The sequence below is a fragment of the Homo sapiens genome, chromosome 6 (assembly GCF_000001405.40).
Source record: "Homo sapiens chromosome 6, GRCh38.p14 Primary Assembly".
In the NCBI taxonomy this organism is placed as follows: domain Eukaryota; kingdom Metazoa; phylum Chordata; class Mammalia; order Primates; family Hominidae; genus Homo; species Homo sapiens.
This window is the reverse complement of record NC_000006.12, coordinates 75798594-75819575: the sequence shown is the minus strand read 5'-3', so window position 1 is coordinate 75819575 and position 20982 is coordinate 75798594. Positions and strand designations below refer to the sequence as shown.

Sequence of the window (20982 nt, the reverse complement as noted above, 5' to 3'; positions counted from 1 at the left end):
ATCTATTTTACTATGGGTCACAAACAAAAACCTTGAAAAGCCATTGCTATCAAGACATGTTCCTCACTCCCTCATCTACACTTCCACTGTACTTCCACTGCGCACACACTGCACAAAGGTGTGCATGACCAGTCCACCCCTTTATGTACTTAATTCCTTAATAATTATTTTGAAGCTGATTATCTCTAGGCAATGAATGAGCTAAGCAAAAGATTGCTTCTCTTAAGGATCTTTTTAACTGTCTGGTTATTACAGCAGTATGTTTATTAAGAACCTGATCAGAAAGTAGGGAGGAAAATTAAGATTAAAGGTAATCTCTGAGAACTTGTTAATCCTCAAAAAAAACTTTGTGGAAAAAACGTACACTTTAGTTCACAGAATTATCTACAGATCCATGAAATTTATATCACTCCCTAATGTAAACAGTTTTTATTGGTTCTACATATGTACCTGAATAAGAGTGTAAAGCATATTAAAATATTTAAAATATGAAAAAGTATATCCACTTAAATCAAGTTTCTTCTATAATTGAACTGAATTGTTTTGTCACCTGTGAATACAACAAAATATACATAACAACTATATATAAACACCTAGGAAATACACTCTCAATTTCATTTTGGTCTTCTGATTTACTGTGCTTATAAAATATGTTAAACAAAAATCAAAAGCCTTCAAATATGTAAAGTAACTGAGCTTTTTTTTTTAAACATGTACTGAATTTTAAGTACAAATAGGTACCTGCTAATAAGAGGAAAAACCAGAAACACTTTGTCTTTCCTGTCCTGAGGGTATCTTTAACTGGCCTCCTCTAACATGGCACATTATACATTATGCATTTCAGTCCCTGGGTTGTTTACAGTAACAGAATAGTTTTCTCTGTGAAAAGACCTCATGAGAGATCCACCTTGTTTTTCTAAGGTTCCCAGAAGGATGGTAGTCATATGGCATTAGTTAGCCATGTATCATAGAATATAAATTATTCATGAACATTTTCAGTCTAAAGTAAACAGAAATGACACCTACAAAATTTAATTTAGTCAGAAGAACTGTTTAACAGGCATACTTATTAAACTAAAAATTGTGGACATCTATCATGGGAATAAGATATTACTGTGCTAAGAGAGCTAAGAGTTGAAAAATAAACCAATTGTGGAACCAAAAGAATAAAAAGAGATTATTTCCTCTGGAAAACTTCCCCTCACTCTCTGAGAATGGAGTGAAGTTCCACAAAAACAGACTGTATCAGTCTCCATGAAGACTGAAACAGGTATTTACAATGATGCCTTCTCTGTAAACGAGTCACAACTCCTAGTCACTTTTCCCTCAGACTTTCATTTTGTAATGCTGTCTAGTTTATGTCTAAGCATGCAAAGAAATAAATACCATGTGTACAGAATTAAAGCATCTATTACAAAAATGATAGCAATAATTTTAAGTGAACAAAAAACTTTAAAAAAAGACTTTATAATAGAAGCTAAGGCAAAAAAGCAAAATCTGATATCTCCACATTCACTTTTCATATTTTTACTTTGTGACATGTCGATCACAGACACACTAATAACTTTAGTAATGTGGCACAAGAAATTAAAATGTCATTATTGTTTAGATTTTATCATACAGCTAGTTCTTAAGAATGAAAGGCTAAGAACTGGATGATCAAAGGGATGTGAAAAAAACAAAGAATGAAAGGCTCACTAAATTTCCATCTGATTTTATCATAGGGCACCATTTTTTCCCTAGGGCACATACCTCTGATTTAATCAAAGAAGTCAGGAGAAAACAGACTCACTTACCAGAAATATGCTTTCCCAAATATCTACCTCATTAAGAAGACAGACCTTACTCTTGTGAAAAAAAACACCTATTTTTGAAAGAAATCATATTTCAACATCTTTCTGAGAAACTCACCTTGCCTTTCTGATTCAAGGGTTCAATTGTTAAGCTGTCGGGGCCAATATCCACAATATTGCCCATCTGAAATCCATCTGTAGGGTGTGGCGCCCAAACGGGCTTTCCATCCTCCATTTTTGAAGGAGGATCCACGATCTCCTGTTTCCACTATCCACTGTCACCTGTTTCAAAGGAACAAATACAGCAACATGAATCAGTTTTGAAATATATATAAAACAAATAATGTATCTTTTTCAAAAGTTCACATGTAAGTCCCAACTAACAAACACATCTGCCCATGCCACATAAAATCCCCACCTCCTCCCTTGCCTCTTGCTGAACTCTGCCCCCTTTATCTACTTTTTTTTTTTTTTTTTTGAGACGGAATCTCACTCTCTCACCCAGGCTGGAGTGCGGTGGCACAATCCTGGCTCACTGCAAGCTCCGCCTCCCAGGATCACGCCATTCTCCTGCCTCAGCCTCCCGAGTAGCTGGGATTACAGGCATCTGCCACCACACCCAGCTAATTTTTTGTATTTTTAGTAGAGATGGGATTTCACCGTGTTAGCCAGGATGGTCTCGATCTCCTGACCTCGTGATCCGCCTGCCTCGGCCTCCCAAAGTGCTGGGATTACAGGCGTGAGCCACCGTGCCCGGCCCCCTTTATCTACTTTTAGATGAGGCCAAGCAGAGGTTGTTCCACCCTCAGGTACACCTGCTCTACTACTGCCTTCCTTCAGGTATGACTGCAGTAGAGTACAACCCTCTGACTAGAACAGAAGCAAACAATGATAGTTTTTACCAGTTGAGTGTAATTTATACCAGCACTCCTTTTTGCTCCCTAAAGTATTCTGCATTTGCACAATAAATTAAATAGTCATAGGAATAGATATTATTGTGGGGAGGTAGCTAAGAGTTGAAAAAAATAAATCAACTGTGGAAGTAAAAGGATAAAAAGAGAGATTATTATCTCTGGGAAACTTTCCCTCACTCTCTGAGAATGGACTGATGTGCTCCCGAAGCTCATCCTCACGGAACTACTCAGTATGCCATTTTTGTTGTTTTCTTATTTTCCACTGAGGTAAAACTGACATACAGTGAAATGTACAAATCTAAGTATACAAGTTGACGAATATGGACAAATGGATATAGCCATTTATGAAACACTCCAATCAAGGTCATGAGTGGTAGCTTACGCCTAGAATGCCAACACTTTGAGAGGCCGAGGCAGGAGGACTGCTTGAGGCTACAGTGAGCTATGACTGTATCACTGCAATCCATTCTGGGTGACAGAACAAGACCCTGTTTCTAAAACAAAACAGTTGTCTCATGACTCCTTTTGGTCAATAACCATTCCCCATGGGCATTCCTACTGTTCTGTTAGTTTCTGCCTATTCCTGAACTTCATATAAGTGACATCATACAGTATGTATTCTTTCATGTCTGTCTTCTTTCATTCAACAAACTGTTTTTGCTTTCAACATATTTAACCTTGTAGTGCGTACTAGTCCAATGAATGACTATACCACAGTTGTTCACCTATTGCTCTGTTGATGAATATTTGGATTGTTTACAGTTTTTGCCTAAGGTGAATTCTAACCTAATTTTTCCATTACCCCTGTATGGTTTCTTTCATACTTAGCATTCTGAGATTTAACATTCATATCTGTCTCTAAAGAGTAGCCAAAACAATCCGTGACATGCAAAATATTTTGTTTTAATGAGCCTGGATGCTATGAGACTAAAATGTAACAATGGATCATCTGGTAAATGATCCCAGATGTCATCTTGACAGGCACTTATTTTTTCACTACTTATCTATATTTAAAAAGAAAAGCTGATTCATGTGCCATAATCCTCCTTTTGTGTGGCATTCTCAAATGTGGATCCTCATGTGGATGCTCTCAGGTGTAGTTTCATGAAAGTCAAGGACGTTTGGCATACAGTTCATTCAAAAGCAGCTAACTATTGGCATGTTTGCAACTTGCTTGTTGGTTGATGTCGTCTATGCAGTGGCTACAAAGTGAGTTGCTTTCCCTATCCAGCAAACGCTATCAGGTTTATGTACAATTCCAAGTTGACAAATTAGATGAAGAGTCTTCATAGAAGTGAATCAATACCACTACTTCAGACTTATATTACCACACATACATCTATACTCTTTCCCTAATCATATCTAGTCCCATGGCTTTAAATACCATTTATGTATGAGTGATGCTCAAAGTTGTTGCTCTAGCCGAAACCTCCACTGAGTTCCCAGATGTTTACTTGTCTACTGGACACCTCTTCATGAATGTATCTAATAGGTGTAACATAATTATTATGTTATTATTGCCATGGTCTACCACTCCAGCTTGCTCTTCCTTAGTATCAGTGAAGGCACTAACAGCACTCCTTCAAATCAAACCCGAAATCATCCCCAATCCCTTGAGCTCCTTCCAAATTCATATCACTTCCTTAATGTTGTCAGCTTTACCTCCAATAGGGATCACAAATCCAACTCCTTCTCTGCATCTCCTCTACCGTCTTAGTTCAAATGAACATCATCTTTTACCAGGACTTCTGTAATTAACTCAGCTGCCTGCTTCTACTCGTGCCACTTCACACATATCACTGGTAATCCTACCAAAAGGTAAATCTAATCATTTCATTTCTGTTTCATCAGGACTTGGACTACTCCTCTCTGTGTCCCTAAGGCCCAGCACACAGTAAGCAACTCAATATTCACTGGTAAATGAATGAATTGTTCACACAGTTTTGGAAGAGTAAAAGCAGGTGTAGACTTAGAAGAATTGAAATATCTTTTTTTTTTTTTTTTGAGACTGGGTCTTTCTATCACCCAGGCCATAGTGCAGTGGCACAGTGATGCAATCATGGCTCACTGCAACCTTGACCTCCCACGTTCAAGACATTCTCCTATTTCAGCCTCCCAAGTAGCTGGGACCATCAGGTGCATGCAGGTAATTTTTGTAATTTTTATTTTTTTATATACAGGGTCTCACTGTGTTGCCCAGGCAGGTCTCGAACTCCTGGGCTCAAGCAATCAACCTGCCTCAACCATACAAAGTGCTGGGATTACAGGCGTGAGCCACTGTGCTCATCCTGAAATATCTTCAAATCCTACGCTCAGCCAGGAACGGTGGCTCACACTTGTAATCAAAACACTTTAGGGTAAGGAGACAGAGCAAGATGGCTTAATAGAAGGCTCCAGCAATCACTTCCCCTTCAGGAACACCAAATTGAACAACTATCCACCCAAAAAAAGCATCTTCATAAGAACAAAAAATCAGGTGAGCAATGTACCAGTTAAAACCAGTCCCTGGTTTTAACATCACATCAAAGAAAGAGGCACTGGAGAGGGGAGCAAAACCAGTCTTCAACTCTCAGCACCACCCTCTCTCTCCCCACCCCTTGGCAGCAGCAATGGTGGTATGGTGAGAGAATCTACAGGCTTGTGGGAGGGAGAGATCACAAACAGAGCATTTACAGAAGCCCTAGCCAGAGGCAAATAGTTCATCTCAGCAAGCCCCACTGCAGGCTAAATTGTTCTGGGGTCCTAAATAAACTTGAAAAGCAGTCTAGACCACAAGGACTGCATTTTCTGGGCAAGTCCTGGTGCTATGATAGGCTCAGAGCCACCGGGTTTGGGGAGCATGTGACCTAGTGAGAACACCAGCTGGGCGGCCAGGAGTGCAACTCACAGCTCTATTAAAGACTCCTTCCCTCCGTTTGAGAGGCGAAGAGGGAAGGGTAAAGGGGACTTTGTCTTGCAACCTGGATACCAACCAATTCAGTCCCAGTAGAATAGAGAACAGGGCAGGTCCTGAGGCCCCCATTCCAGGCCCTAGCTCCTGGGCATTTCTAAACACATCCTAGGCAGAAGATAACTCACTGATTTGGGGGGAAGAACCCAGTCCCAGCAGAATTCATCACCTGCTGACTAAAGAGCCCCTGGGGCCTGAACAGTCAGCAGTGGTAGCCAGGCAATACTCACCACGGGTCACAGGTGAGACTGAGAGCTATGCTGGCTTCAGGTATGACCCAGCACATTCCCAGCTGTGGTGGCCATGGGGAGAGACTGCCTCTGAATAAGGAAAGGAAAGGGAAGAGTAAGGGGGACTTTGTCTGGCAGCCTGGGTACCAGCTCAGCCAGAGTGGGTTAACGAGCACCAAGCGGGCTCCTGGGGTCCCTGATCCCCGGCCTTGACTCTTGGATGGCATTTCTGGATGTGCCCTGGGCCAAAGGGGAGCCCACTGTTCTAAAGCAGGAGATTCAGCACTGGCAGCATCCACCACGAACTGACTGGAGAACTCTTGGGCCTTGAGTGAACATCGGCAGTAGCCAGGCTGTACTTGCCATGGGCTTGGGATGGTGGTGGCCATGCAGAGAGACTCTTTGCTTGAGGAAAGAGGAGAAAAGAGTGGGAAGAACTTGATCTGTGGCTTGGGTGCCAGCTCAGCTTCAGAATACAGCAGCAGATAGATTTCTAAGGTTCTTGATTCCAGGCCCTGCCTCCCAGGTGGCATCAATCCAAAAGAAAAGGGCTTAATGAACAAGAAGAAATCATCTGAAGGTACAAAACTCACTGGTAATAGTAAGTACACAGAATATTCTAAAACTATAATTGTAAAACCATTTAATATAACTACTATGGAGAACAGTTTGCAGGTTCCTTAAAAAACTAAAAATATAATGACCATATGATCCAGCAATCCCACTGCTAGGAACTCAAGAGAAAGGAATCAGTATATTGAAGAGATAACTGCACTCCCATTTTTACTGCAGCACTATACTCAGTAGCCAAGATCTGGAAGCAACCCAAGTGCCCATGAACAGAAGAATGGATAAAGACAACATGGTGCATATATACAGTGGAGTATTATTCAGCCATGAAAAAGAAAGATCCTGTCATTTACAACAACATGGATGGAACTGGAGGTCATTACATTAAATGAAACACATCAGACAAAGAAAGGAAAACTTCACATGTTCTCACGTATCTGTGGGAGCTAAAAAAAAAACTGAAACAATTGAACTCATGAAGATAGGGAGTAGAATGATACCTGAGGCTGGGAAGGTAGTGGGGTGGGGAGTAGGGATGGTTAATGGGTACAAAAATATAGTTAGAATTAATAAAATCTAGTACTTGATAGCACAAGAGGGTGACTACAGTCAATAGTAACTTACTGTCATTTAAAAATAACTAAAATAGTATACTTGGATCGTTGTGGTACAAAGAAAGAATAAATCCTTGAGTTGCTGGGTACTTCATTTACCCCAATGTGATTATGGCACACTGTACGCCTGTATCAAAATATCTCATGTACCCCATAATATACACACCTACTATGTATCAACACACACAAAAAAAATTTAATTTTTAAAAAAAGCACTTTGAGAAGCCGAAGTGGGAGGATCACTTGATCCTAGGAGCTCAAGACCAGCCTGAACAACACAGCAAGACTCCACCTCTACAAAAATCAAAAATTTTAAACATTAGCCAGGAATGATGGCATAGCCCTGTAGTTCTGGCTACTCAGGAGGCTGAGGCAGGAGGATGACTTGAATCCAGGAGTTCAAAGTTGCAGTAAGCTATCATTGTGCCACTGCACTCCAGCCTGGGAGACAGAGTAAGACCTTGTCTCTGGAAAAACAAAAAACAAAAAACAGAAAAAAAAACCTAGGCTTGAAACTCAGCTCCACCACTTTCTAACAAGCTCTTAAGTAAGTTATTTAACCTCTTCGATTTTTATCTTTGTCCTTATCCATATGGTGGGATATCACTTACCTTTCAGAACTGCTGTGAGGATTAAGTGACATAAAACTGAGATCACTGTTCTACTGGCACCCAAAAGATACTAGGCATACCCCTCCCCCTTTCTCTTTTCCTTCCCCACTATATCCCTTGTTTGAAGCCACCAGTCAGTTTCAAGACAATAGTTGTGGTAATTTTAAATACAAACAGAAATTACAGAATAGACAGGAGGGATCATTTAGGAAAAATTACCTGAAATCACTGTGTGTAAAATTTGTGACAGTGAAAAAAAAGAAAAGAAAAATCACAGCAAAGCAAAACTCCCAAAGTCCAAAAAAGAATGGCAAATTAAACTTCGAACTACTTTCCTATTTTCAACTGTTAACTATGACTTCCCAGTTAAGGTAACAAATTTAAAGGCACACACACAGCTAACATTGCTCCTTCATCAAAGCCCTTTATCTACAGTACAGGGATTCTTTACAAACACATCAGCCCATGAGGATGGAGAGAAGCAAAAAGGAGAAAACAGAAGCATTTTCTAATTTGGAAAGCAAATGGTTGAGAGGCAACCAACAGCAACCACAAGAGAGCTGAATTTCAAGGCATGAATTCGAAAATATGAAAACCAACCCAAATTATACTACAGAATCCTCAAAAGATACAAGAAATTCAGTACAAGGTTCCAGAACAAGGGTGAAAAGAAATCTAAAATAAGGAAAACTAGGTGAAAGTTTTCTGAGAGAGATTTCCTCACACCAACCACACAAACTCCATATTGATGGAAAAACTGCCCCCCTACCCCAATCCCCACCACCCCCACCAAGAGAAGTCTAGAACCTGTTCTCTGGAGAAGACTCTGGAATGAGAAACACCAAAAACAATTATGGGTATGCCAAAAAAAAAACAAAACTGCTTAGGAGATAGGGTCTCACTTTTTCACCCAGGCTGGAGTGCAATGGCACAATCATAGGTCACTGCAGCCTCGAACTCCTGGGCTCAGGCAATCCTCCCACCTCAGCCTTCTGAGTAACCGGGATTACAGGCATAAGCCACTGCACCTGGCCAAGACTCTCTCCTTGACCAACCAACTTTAATTAGGCTCCTCTGAGGCCTCTCCTCAACTAGGCTAGGCCTCAACCTTGGCCTTAACTCCGTTCTATCTCTTGACAGGCCTGCACAGCCCAGTTTTAGCAAGAATCCTGCTAAATCAATTTAGATAGACTCCCCGACCCCTGATACTTGATCCAGTTCCCATCCCCCACCTTTCATGTCATAAACCAAAAATAAAATCCTAAGCCCCTAACCAACTGAATGGGGATCCCTCTTGGATGGGGGAAACCCAGAGGAACTTGAAAAACTGAATTCCCAGCCAAGACAGGAAGGGAGGTCAGACATGCCTCATTATACCCCCCTCCCTTTTGGAATTTAGGCACAACTGACAAATAATAACATTAAAATAGAGATCATAAGACTGACAAAACAGATTCTTTGCAGCAATAAGACACATTTCAACCTGACTCTGGTACAGCATCACATGCCAGATATCAGACCCTGAAGAGAATCAAATATTTTACTCCACAATATATTTCTTTGACATATTTTGAAATGGCCCTGCAAAGCTGTCTTTTGTGGAGGAAATTTGCATCTGTAGAGAATTTCATAGTAATTAATGCAGCCAGGCATTTCCAGGATGGATCTGGGCGAGATTACCTAAGTCTGACATCTTTTAAGGTCTGAAAAGAGACATTTACCATCATTCTCTCTGTAGCCTGCTACCTATGAAGCTTCTCTACATAACAAGAACCTCAACATCTATGGATCTTTTTTTTTTTTTTTTTTTGAGACAGAGTCTCACTTTGTTGCCCAAGCTGGAGGGCAATGGGGCAATCTGGGCTCACTGAAACCTCCGCCTCCAGGGTTCAAGCAATTCTCCTGCCTCAGCCTCTACAGGAGCTAGGACTACAGGCACCTGCCACAACGCCCAGCTAATTTTTGCTTTTTTTTTTGTTTTTTTTTTTTTTTTAGCAGAGACAAGGTTTCATCATGTTAGCCAGACTGGTCTTGAACTCCTGACCTCAAGTGATCCACCTGGCTCGGCCTCCCAAAGTGCTGGGATTACAAGCCTCAGCCAGCACGCCGGGCTGACATCCCCCTTATCTTACCTCGAGCATTTCTTTCTACTGACTTCCAGTCTTTAGACAAAGCTTAACTCTTTCAACGGCCAATCAGAAAATCTTTGAATCCACCTATGACCCATAAGCTCCCCATTCCACCACCCCCCCACTTCGAGATTTCCCAGTTTTCAGGCAGAGACAGAATCAATATATACCTTCCACGTATTATGTCTTCGCCTGTAATTCCTGCCTTCCTAAAATGTATAAAACCAAATTATAACCCAACCACCTCACACACACTTTCTCAGGACTTCTTGAGACTGTTCATCGGGCCATAGTCGTTCATATTGGCTCTGAATAAACCTCTTTAAATATTTTACAGTTTGCTTTTTCCATTAACACTCTAAGTCCTTGACCTGCCTTCAGCAAAAATCCTGTTAAGTCAGTATGGCAAGACTTTCCATGCCCTTGATGTCTCCATGAATAATTTTCCATCCACTGATCCACTCGCTCTGTTCCTTGGCTGTAAATCCTGTGAAAGGAAAAAAATCTCGGAACCCCAACATCACTAAGCCAAGGAAAAAGTCAAGCTGGGGACTATGTCAGGCAGGCCTGCCTCCCATTTTATTCCTAAACAAGATAGCTACAAACATTTTTTAAAAAGTTACATGCCTCCCTCACAATTTGCCCACATGGAAATTCCTTGTGGATGAAGGACAGCCAGAACTCAGTCATCTCGCTGAGGCTCATGTGAGACAAACGCATATCTCATTGCTTCTTCTGCCATATTGTTTCACTAAGCCAGACTAGGGCATAAGATTATTTCCTCTACCCTCCTCTCACCTGTAAATTGTGTATTCTGTGAAAGGCTAATCAGAGACTCAAAAGAATGCAATAGTTTGTCTCTTATCTACCTATGATTTGGAAGTCCCCTCCCCCTGCCTTGAGTTTACCCACCTTTCCAGATGAAACTAATGTACATCTTACAGAAATTAATTGATGTCTCATGTCTACCTAAAACATATAAAACCAAGTTGTGCCCTGACCACCTTGGGTACATGTCCTCAGAACCTCCTGTGGCTGAGTCACAGGTGCATCCTTAACCTTTCTAAATTGGTTTCAAAATAAACTTTCTAAATTGGTTGAGACCTGTCTTAGATATTCTGGGTTCACAATCCCCAGCTGTCTCTGCCATATTCAGGAGTTGAGGCCCATCTCTCCCACCTACTGCAATACCCCTTCATATGAACTGAAAGTACTGCTATGGACTGAATTTTGTTCCCCCCAAATTCATATGTTTAAGCCTTAACCCTCAATGTCTCTGTATTTGGAGACAGGGCTTTCAGGAGGTAATTAAGATTAAATGAGGTCAGAAGGGTAGGGTTCTAATCAGATAGGATTGGTGGCCATATAATAAGAGGAAGAGAGAGAAATAGATCTCTGTCCGAGTACATGCACCATGGAAAGGCCAAGGGAACACACAGAGAAAAGGCTGCCATCTATAAGCCAGGAAAAGTGCTCTTATCAGAACCCAACCACGGTGACACACTGACGTCAGATATCCAGGTTACAAAACTGTGAAAAAACTAAATTTCTGTGTCAGAATACAAACGTTTGTGGTATTTTATTACGGCAGCCTGAGCAGTCTACACTTCTAGCAGACTAATACCACCCCTACCACAAGAGTCCTTGAATAAAGTATTCCTTGCTGTTTTAACAAGTGTTAGAATAATTTTTCTTTAACAACATAATAATAGAAATGAAATATTCACTAGAAGCTATAGAAGATAAAGACGAGGCAACCTTTCAGAGTTAAGATAAAATGGAAGAGCGTCAGAGGCATGTGAACCAGAGCAACTCCATCTTGAATAGGAGGTGGGTAAAATAAGGCTAAAACCTACTGGTTTGTAGACATTTAAGGCATTCTAAGTCACAGGATGAGAGAGGAGGTCAGCAGAAGACACAGGTCATAAAGACCCTGCTGATAAAACGGGCTGCAGTAAAGAAGCTGGCTAAAACCCATCAAAACCAAGATGGCAACAAGAGAGATCTCTGGTAGTATAATCAAGAAATAAACATAAAAATGGGCAGCCAGCAGCCTTTGGGGCTGCTCTGTCTGTGGAGGAGCTATTCTTTATTCCTTTACTTTCTAAATAAACTTCCTTTCACTTTATGGACTCGTCTGAAATTCTTTCTTGTGTGAGATCCAAGAACCCTCTCTCTTGGGGTCTGGATCAGGACCCCTTTCCTGTAACAATAGAAAATAGGGGGAAAAGATAAAAAGGAAAATAAAATGTGAATATGAGACTAGTAAAAATAATCCAGCATCAAAATACCAGGAAAAAAAAATCCCTCCACATGCCCACTCCCCAAAGAGAGAGGAAGAAGGCTTTGAAATATCCAAAGAAAATATACCAGAACCAAAAGACATGATTTTCTAGAGTCTAGTCAAAATTTCCATGGAGTCCTCAACAGTGTACTAGAAAACAGACACACAGAGACACCACTGTCAAATTTCAGAACACCAGAAATAAATAAAATGTGCTACATATTTCCAGAGAGATTAGTGAGAAAAGAAGAAAAAAGAACAGGTCCTTCTAAGGATCATTAATCACAATGGCTTCAACAACACTCAAAGCAGTAAGTAAATAAAACAATGTTTTTAAAATTCTGGAGGAAAATTAATTCTAACCTAGAACTCTATACAGAGGCAAACTCCCAGTCCAGATTGGAACAATATGATCCAAGAGACAGCCACGCTGAGCACTGTCATCAAAGACAGTCACTGCCCAAATGACTGTGGCCCAGTTCAGTTTTTTATCTGTGCTGAGACCAGCTCTGTCAGGAGACCCTAACCCAGTGGCACTAGAGGAATTAAAGACACACACACACACAGAAATATAGAGGTGTGAAGTGGGAAATCAAGGGTCTCACAGCCTTCAGAGCTGAGAGCCCCGAACAGACATTTACCCACGTATTTATTAACAGCAAGCCAGTCATTAGCATTGTTTCTACAGACATTAGATTAACTAAAAGTATAGGATGGGCCTAAATAAAGGGGTGGGTCTGGCTAGTTATCTGCAGCAGGAACATGTCCTTAAGGCACAGCTCACTCATGCTATTGTTTGTGGCTTAAGAATGTCTTTAAGCAGTTTTCCGCCCTGGGCGGGCCAGGTGTTCCTTGCCCTCATTCCAGTAAACCCACAACCTTCCAGCATGGGCGTTATGGCCATCATGAACATGTCACAGTGCTGCAGAGATTTTGTTTATGGCCAGTTTTGGTGCCAGTTTATGGCCAGATTTTGGGGCGCTTGTTCCCAACAATCTGAACATGTCTTATTCTATGTGATAATGATGTACTTCTGCCTGGAAGAAGCCATGGACACTCACTTCCCCCTTCTATTAATTTTTTTTTTTTTTTTGAGACAGAGTCTTGCTCTGTTGCCCAGGCTGGAGTGCAGTGGCATGATCTCAGCTCACTGCAACCTCTGCCTCCCAGGTTCAAGCAATTCTCATGCCTCAGCCTCACAAATGGCTGGGAACTACAAGCATGTGCCACCACATCCAGCTAATTTTTTTGTATTTTTAGTAGAGAAGAGGTTTTGCCATGTTGCCCAGGCTTAAATTAAGTATTACTTTGTATCTAGTGCAAGGTTTTCACTAGAATAAACCTCTTTTTTTAATGTCTTCATTTAATTGTTTTTGGAATCCTAAATATTTAAATACAAATTATCCTTCATTAATGAAGTCTGATTTATTCACCCCACCAAAGATGACAAAATTCTTTCAGATATGTTAATATCTGTTCCCAGAAAAATCTTTCAGAAAATCCATGTGGTCAATATTCATTCTAACTAAACATGTTTGCATATGAAGAGTACTTAAAAAGATACTCACTCACTATAAGGGAAATTTTTAAGACAGTCTCAATTCCCAGTGCTATTGTACTAGAAGTCTTAAACACATTCTAACTTTCTAACTACATATACTTTGCACAAATACTAAAAGAAAAAAATAATAAGAATTATTGGGGTTAAGGAAATTTTAAATCTTGGAAATTCTTAGTTATTCTAAGAGAGATAATTCCCCATCATCAACTGAAAATTATCTTACTTTTAGTACTTAATTGACAATTGATAATGTATTTTTAATGCAAACACTATAGTAATGTGTAGAAGTAATCCACAGAAGCACCATGTAATCCACAGAAGGCAATCGTGGCTTTTCAAAGCTACTACACTAATTTTTCATTTCTTCTGTGTCAAAAGGTTAAAAGTATATCACCAGGAGGCTCCCTGGGGAGCAAACTTATTGCAGGCAAGAGTAACAAAAACATACACCACTATATTCTCTTTTATCTGCATCTCCAATGATAACTCCAATAACATCTATGTATTAAATACTACAGGCAGAATAGGCAGATTCATATCACAAAACATGAGCTGTTGCCTGCCATGTCACCATTATTTTCAAAAGTTACCCTTTTAGAAATATAGTTAGGTTAAGGCCGGGCACTGTGGCTCGCACCTGTAATCCCAACACTTTGGGAGGCCGAGGCAGGAGTTCGAGACCAGCCTGGCTAACACGGTGAAACCCCATTGCTCCTAAAAATACAAAAATTAGCCAGGCATTCTAGCTGCACCTGTAATCCCAGCTACTTGGGAGGCTGAGGCACGAGAATCACTTGAACCAACGAGGCAGAGGTTGCAGTGAGCTAAGATCATGCCACTGCACTCCAGCCTGGGTTGACAGAGTGAGACTCTGTCTCAAAAAAAAAAAAAAAAAAAATATATATATATATATATATGTGTGTGTGTATATATATATGTGTGTGTATATATGTGTATATATGTGTACATATGTGTATATATGTATATATGTGTATATATTATATATGTGTGTATATATGTATATATATGTGTGTGTGTGTATATATATATGCGCATATATATGTGTATATATATGTTAGGGTATTAGACATTAAGTACCAACTAAAAGTAATTTGGGTTTTGGCTGTAAGTGCTAGAATAAGACACCAAAAAGGAGAAAGCATATGGCAAACAGAATCCTTCCAAGACTGCCTTACGGAGTCATTTATTCTGTTAACTATTATTTATTTAGCCACCTACCATGTACCACATACTGCCAGGTGTTGGGGGTATAAAGGTGAGCAAAAAGAGACAAGGTATCTGGCCTCAGGGAGCCTTCTAGCTAATAGGAAAACAATCAGTTAGAATAGAAGAGTAAACAGAATTGGCAAAATCCCTGCCCTCAGGGATCTTAAATTCCAGTGGAGGGGAGTATGAAGGGGTGGGGTAGATCTATCAAGTTTGCCTTTAAAAAGATTACTCTTTCATCTGGCCAAGCCCTGGCCTTGCTGCTCAAAACAATGTTATGTGCACCTTTGGCATACAAGTTTTAAACCGGCAACTCCTCTCACCTCTATCAGTGTATCCTAAGGCTATTAGCTTCCCTGGTATCCAGATACTGTGAGAAAATGGGGCACAAGGTTAACAGTTGGCTGTGGCTAGTAAGTTTTGTGTGCACCTAGCACAATCTTTTATCAAGCATTTCGGTTCCCGAACCAAAGTTCAGGAATTGAATCATTCTCAAAAACATTTCAGCAGGGTTCCCTTTAGTCAGTAAATTACCTTGAAAAGGCCCAAGGCAGGAGGATTACTTGAGTCCAAGAGTTCAAAGCCACTCTGGGCAACATAGTGGGACCTTGTCTCCACCAAAAGCATGAACATTAGTCAGGCATGTCAGTACACACCTGCAGTCACAGCTACTTAAGAGGCTGAGGCGGAAGAATAGCTTCAGCTCAGGTGGCCAAGGCTGCAGTGAGCCATGATCGTGCCACTGTACTCCAGCCTGGGTGACAGAGCAAGATCCTGTGTCACAAATCAAAAACAAAAAACAAAAAGAAAAAGCCTCCCTAGAAAATATATCCAAGTTAATCTTCAGCTAGTTGTACAAAATTTGGGTTTTTTATTGCTATGATATAGTATTAATTGAACATAAGTACTGAACTTATTGTGAATATCTTGGTTTTATCAGCAATAAACTTTTATTAACAATGGAAAGAAAAGACCCATCACTAAGTCCAAACTCGGGACAAAGAAGAAAATATCTGAACATTAACAATATCTAAAAATTAACTACCACAATTTAATTAAGAAGTAATTTTGATTTTTTTTTCAATGAATATTTACTGAGCACCTGCTAAGTACCAGGCACTGCTTTAGGCTGAGATACTGATGACAAAATACGCAGATCAACTGTTTCTCAAAATAAGACAAATGTCCATTCCAGCTATGACACCCCTTCTGAAAGTCTAGTTGATTATGGCCCTGGTCCTGATGTATGACCTTTTCACAAAGTGACTTCCAAGTATAACCTAGGAAACTCCAATGTAGCAATCAATGCTTAAAGCTAAGTCTGCTATCACTTGATTCTTAAAACAGTGAACACCACCACTAACTTAACTGGTATAGTTAAGATTGATGTGCTAACAAAAAAAGGGGATAAAAAAAAAAGCAAGTATGTCATTAATAAGCTTACTATGAAATATTTTAAAATACGTGATTTGGAACTGATACCAGGAAAATTACTATAAATACAATACAATCTGAATTGTGAGAACTGATTATATGATTTTCTTACAGATTTTCAGAGAAGAAATCATAAACTATATTTCAAATATAAACACCTGCGTAAATTACCATCACAAGACAGATTTGGATTTAGACATAATTCATATAATATATGCAATCGTTATTACAATAATATGGACAAAAAGTAGACTTTTTCAGAAAAAGCCCTGTATTTTTAAGAGACTAAACATCCCAGTTTACCTAGTCAAAATTTCTTTCACAGATATTAAAGTATCAGAATATAATAGCAAGATATTCATCCCAGGTGATTTAAATATTCCATATGCTGTGACTAATCTTGTTTATTATCCAATGATACACCCAGAAGTTACCTAGTTCTGTAATTTGTGCTAGGTTTAAGAGATTTTTCCACCAGGTGCAGTGGCTCATGCCTGTAATCCCAGAACTTTGAGAGGCCAAGCTGGAGAGATTGCTTGAGCCCAAGAGTTCAAGACCAGCCTGGGCAACAAAGTGAGATCCCTGTCTCTACAAAAAATACAAAAACTAGCTGGGTGAAGTGGTGCATGCCTGTGGTCCCAGCTGGCGTGGTGGGAGGCTGAAGTGGAAGGATCACTTCAGCCTGGGATGTTGAGGCTAGTGAGTCATGATCATGCCACTACACTCCAGCCTGGGTGACAGAGCGAGACTCAGTCTCATTAAAAAAAAAAAAAAAAAAATTTTTTTTTTTGATACTGAGTCTCGCTCTGTCACCCAGACTAGAGTCCAGTGGCGCAGTCTCGGGTCACTGCAACCTTCACCTCCCGGGTTCAAGCAATTCTCCTGATTCAGCCTCCCAAGTAGCTGGGATTACAGGCACGCGCTACCACGCCCAGCTAATTTTTGTATTTTTAGTAGAGACAGGATTTCACCATGTTGGCCAGGCTGGACTGAAACTCCTGACCTCAGATGATCCGCCTACCTCGGCCTCCCAAAATGCTGGGATTACAGGCACGAGCCACCATGCCCAGCCAAAGAAATATTTTTAAAAGGTAAACATGCTTTTTACAGGGAGTTAATTTTGTCTTCCGCTTAGTATTGCATTTAAATGACTCCCTGAGAATCAGAGAGACAATCAAAAGAATTGGAAATTTTCACTGAAATTTTTCATTTCTTGAATCAATTATAAAATATATTATTCTTTCTTAATTGACATACAAATTATGCAATAAGTATATTCAGATATTCTATAAGATGAGAATCACATTTTTTTTTTTTTGAGATGAAGTCTTGCTCTGTCGCCCAGGCTGGAGTACAATGGCGTGATCTCAGCTCACTGCAACCTCCACCTTCCAGGTTCAAGTGATTCTCCTGCCTCAGCCTCCTGAGTAGCTGGGATTACAGGCGCCTGCCACCACACCCAGCTAATTTTTGTATTTTTAGTAGAGACGGGGTTTCACCAGGTTGGCCAGGCTGGTCTTGAGGTCATGACCTCAGGTGATCCACCCGCCTTGGCCTCCCAAAGTGCTGGGATTACAGGCATGAGCCACTGTGCCCAGCCCTCAAATTATTTTTTCAGATTTCCAAGGGCCACTTTAACTTTCAACTCCACTCCACAACATGCTTTGAAGACAGTATTCTACTAAACTATCTCTGAAAATGCAAATGCAAGTTTTCTCATAAAAAAAAAAATTAAGCTCTCACCACCACCTCTACATATCAAGCTGCATCTGTGCCCATACAGTCTTCCTTTCATTCTGTTACTAAGTCCAAATTATTCTTACTCCTATCTAAAACCAGTCGCTACTCACCCACCAGATCCTATTCCTTCTTAAGCCATGCAAGAACAACCACCCCTCCTCTCCTCTCCTCCCTCCTCCTCCTCTCCTCTCGTCCCTCTCTTTCCCTCCTCTCCCCGCTCTTCTCTTTCTCCCTCCTCTTTTCTGTGAAGCACCTTGTGAAGAAGGTGCTTGCTTCCCCTTCACTTTCTGCCATGATTGTAAATTTCCTGACACCTCCCCAGCCATACAAAACTGTGAGTCAATTAAACCTCTTTCCTTTATAAATGACCCAGTCTCAGGGAAGTTCTTTATAAAGTGTGAAAACAAAGTAATACATCTAGTCTTACGGCTTTAAACATTATCCATATGGCTAATCATGGCATCAATGTTATTAATATGCTAATAACGCCCCATGTGGCCAGGCACGGTGGCTCACACACCTGTAATGCCAGCACTTCAGAAGGCAGAGGCAGGTGGATAACTTGAGCTCAGGAGTTCAAGACCAGCCTGGCCAACATGGGGAAATCCCATCTCTACTAAAAATACAAAAATTAGCCGGGTGTGGTGGCATGCACCTGTAATTCCGGCTATTCAGGTGGCTGACACACGAGAACTGCTTGAACCTGGGGGATGGAGATTGTAGTGAGTCAAGATTGTGCCACTGCACTCCAGCCTGGGTAATGGAGTGAGACCCTGTCTCAAAAAAATAGTAATGCCCCATTTTCTATCTCCAACTTATACCTCTCTCCTAACTCCAGACATCTAGAGCACATAGCCTATTCAATATCACTACTTAGGAAATCAACAGCCATCTCAAACTTTTCATATCCTAAACTGACCTCCTAGCTCCCCGTTTAAATTTGTTTCGTTCATAGTGATCCTCTTCTTATTAAATGACAATTTCTTTTTCTTTTTTTGAGACAGGGTCTCACTCTGTCACCCAGGCTGGGTATTACTCCAGTAAGAAATCTGACACCTTAGCCTACTTCAGCTTAATCATAGCAAATATAAACCCTCCATCAGGCTTTGTGAAATACTGAAAATACATTAAGGACATCCACTTGTAACTGAAGGCCCTTGAGATGGAAGCCTCTGTACTTCTCGGCAGCTCCCAGGTCCTGTCTCCTCTTAATTGTGTTGGGAAACACACTGTATGGTGCTTCTGAGTGATTATGTTGACTCACTTACCTTTGTTCAGCCGCATACCAATTTTGAATTTTCTTTCGTGAAAGTAAGGGCTCACTCTTATTACGGGACTGTTTGGGGAGAGTAGAGTCTGGAGGGGGGTTGAACCATGAAGTGAAATTATTACAAATGCATTCTACAAACATTTATTGAATTCCCAATATGTGTCAGGCATAGCACCAGAAAAAAAATTAGTATTTTTCATCCTAAACAAAAAAGAAAAGCACATTCTTTCTAAATAAAAAACTAAACCACACATAGAAATAAGATCCTAGAAACTCCTAAAGTCTTAAAGTTACCACCACTGCCATTAAAAGAATTGGAATTAATTATTGGGGGAAGGGGAATAACTAAAGTGATAATATCCCAGGTACTCAAATGCCTGGGGGGAAGCAGGAAATACTCAGAGAAGCAGTGCTATGCTTCTATCCCAAAGCACTGTAACATGGGTAAAGTTAGTCTACACCTACCCTCTCCTTCTCATCTTTTCCCCATTTGAGAACACTAACTTAGGCTCAAAAAACAGGCAAAAATCAAGAAACAAGAGCCATCTTGTTTCATTTCATTCCTTGAAATGAAGGTTCAAACTCTAGGCTACACACAAACCCTACCTTGTAGTAAGTAAATTCAAAGGGAAAAAAAGAAAGTAAATATTTTCTTGCTTTACAAACAAGTCTATATATTTGCTTGCCTTATTGACTCGCTAGAGCTAATACTTTTTAAATATTAATTTTAACATTTCAAAAGTTGATGATGAATTACAAAAATGAGACTCTCTTGCCTACAAACATGTTTGTTCTTCCTTAACCTAGGTGTGTCACATAAATCAAGGACCAAAGTAAAATACTTTTTTTTTTTTTTTTTAGACAGAGTTTTGCTCTTGTCGTCCGGGGTGGAAGGCAATGGCAAGATCGCGAATCACTGCAACCTCCACCTCCTGGGTTCAAGCAATTCTCCTGCCTCAGCCTCCCTAGTAGCTGGGATTACAGGGGCCTGCCACCACACCTGGCTAGTTTTTGTATTTTTAGTAGAGATGGGGTTTCACCATGTTGGCCAGGCTGGTCTCGGAACTCCTGACCTCCGGTGATCCACCCGCCTTGGCCTCCCAAAGTGCTGGGATTACAGACATGAGCCACCGCGCCTGGTTTTCTGATTTCTTTCAGAAGTGTTTTGTGGTTCTCCTTGTAGAGGTCTTTCACCTCCTTGGTTAGCTATATTTTTAAGTATTTCGTTTTGTCTATGTGGCTGTTGTAAACGGGATTGTGTTCTTGATTTGACTTTCAGCTTGAACGTCACTGCTGTTTAGAAATACTACTTATTTTTGCACATTTATTTTGTGTCCTGAAACATTACTGAAGTCATTTATCAGTTCTTGGAGTCTTTGGGAGAAACTTCAGGGTTTTCCACATATAGAATGTATCATCAGCAAAGATAGACAGTTTGACTTCTTTTTTCCTATTTGAATACCTTTTATTTATTCTCTTGCCTGACTGCTCTGGCTAGGACTTCCAGAATAAGAGTGGTGTGAGTAAGCATTCTTGTCTTGCTCCTGTTCTCAAGGAGAATAGTTTCAGCTTTTGCCTGTTCAGTCCAATGTTGGCTATGGGTTTATCATAGACAACTCATTATTTTCAGTTATGTTCCTTTGATGCCTAGTCTG

At 40.4% G+C, this 20982-nt stretch overlaps 1 protein-coding gene across 17 annotated transcripts in view, besides 2 other annotated features; it reads right to left on the bottom strand.

Annotated features, from left to right (window-relative positions):
• The window catches only part of MYO6 (myosin VI), a 170299-nt gene that overhangs the window by 99962 nt on the left and 49355 nt on the right, over positions 1-20982 (bottom strand). For 15 of the 17 annotated variants that reach the window (NR_160538.1, NR_160539.1, NM_001368865.1 and 12 more), the window contains one exon: positions 1912-2075. Coding sequence is in view for 15 of the 17 variants with exons in the window: in NM_001368865.1 (NP_001355794.1) it covers positions 1912-2028 (117 nt within the window). In the remaining 2 variants the exon portion in view is untranslated. Of the gene's footprint in view, positions 1-1911; positions 2076-5887; positions 5973-20982 lie in introns of those variants that run through there. The other 2 variants (XM_024446447.2, XM_047418836.1) reach the window with 1 other exon arrangement.
• Positions 4824-5714: an enhancer, noted in NCBI's record as "H3K4me1 hESC enhancer chr6:76523579-76524469 (GRCh37/hg19 assembly coordinates)". NCBI's record gives its function as "activates a minimal SCP1, AML or CMV promoter by ChIP-STARR-seq in primed H9 embryonic stem cells {active_cell/tissue: H9 hESC(primed)}" and the evidence as "EXISTENCE:reporter gene assay evidence [ECO:0000049][PMID:30033119]".
• Positions 5715-6605: an enhancer, noted in NCBI's record as "H3K4me1 hESC enhancer chr6:76522688-76523578 (GRCh37/hg19 assembly coordinates)". NCBI's record gives its function as "activates a minimal SCP1, AML or CMV promoter by ChIP-STARR-seq in primed H9 embryonic stem cells {active_cell/tissue: H9 hESC(primed)}" and the evidence as "EXISTENCE:reporter gene assay evidence [ECO:0000049][PMID:30033119]".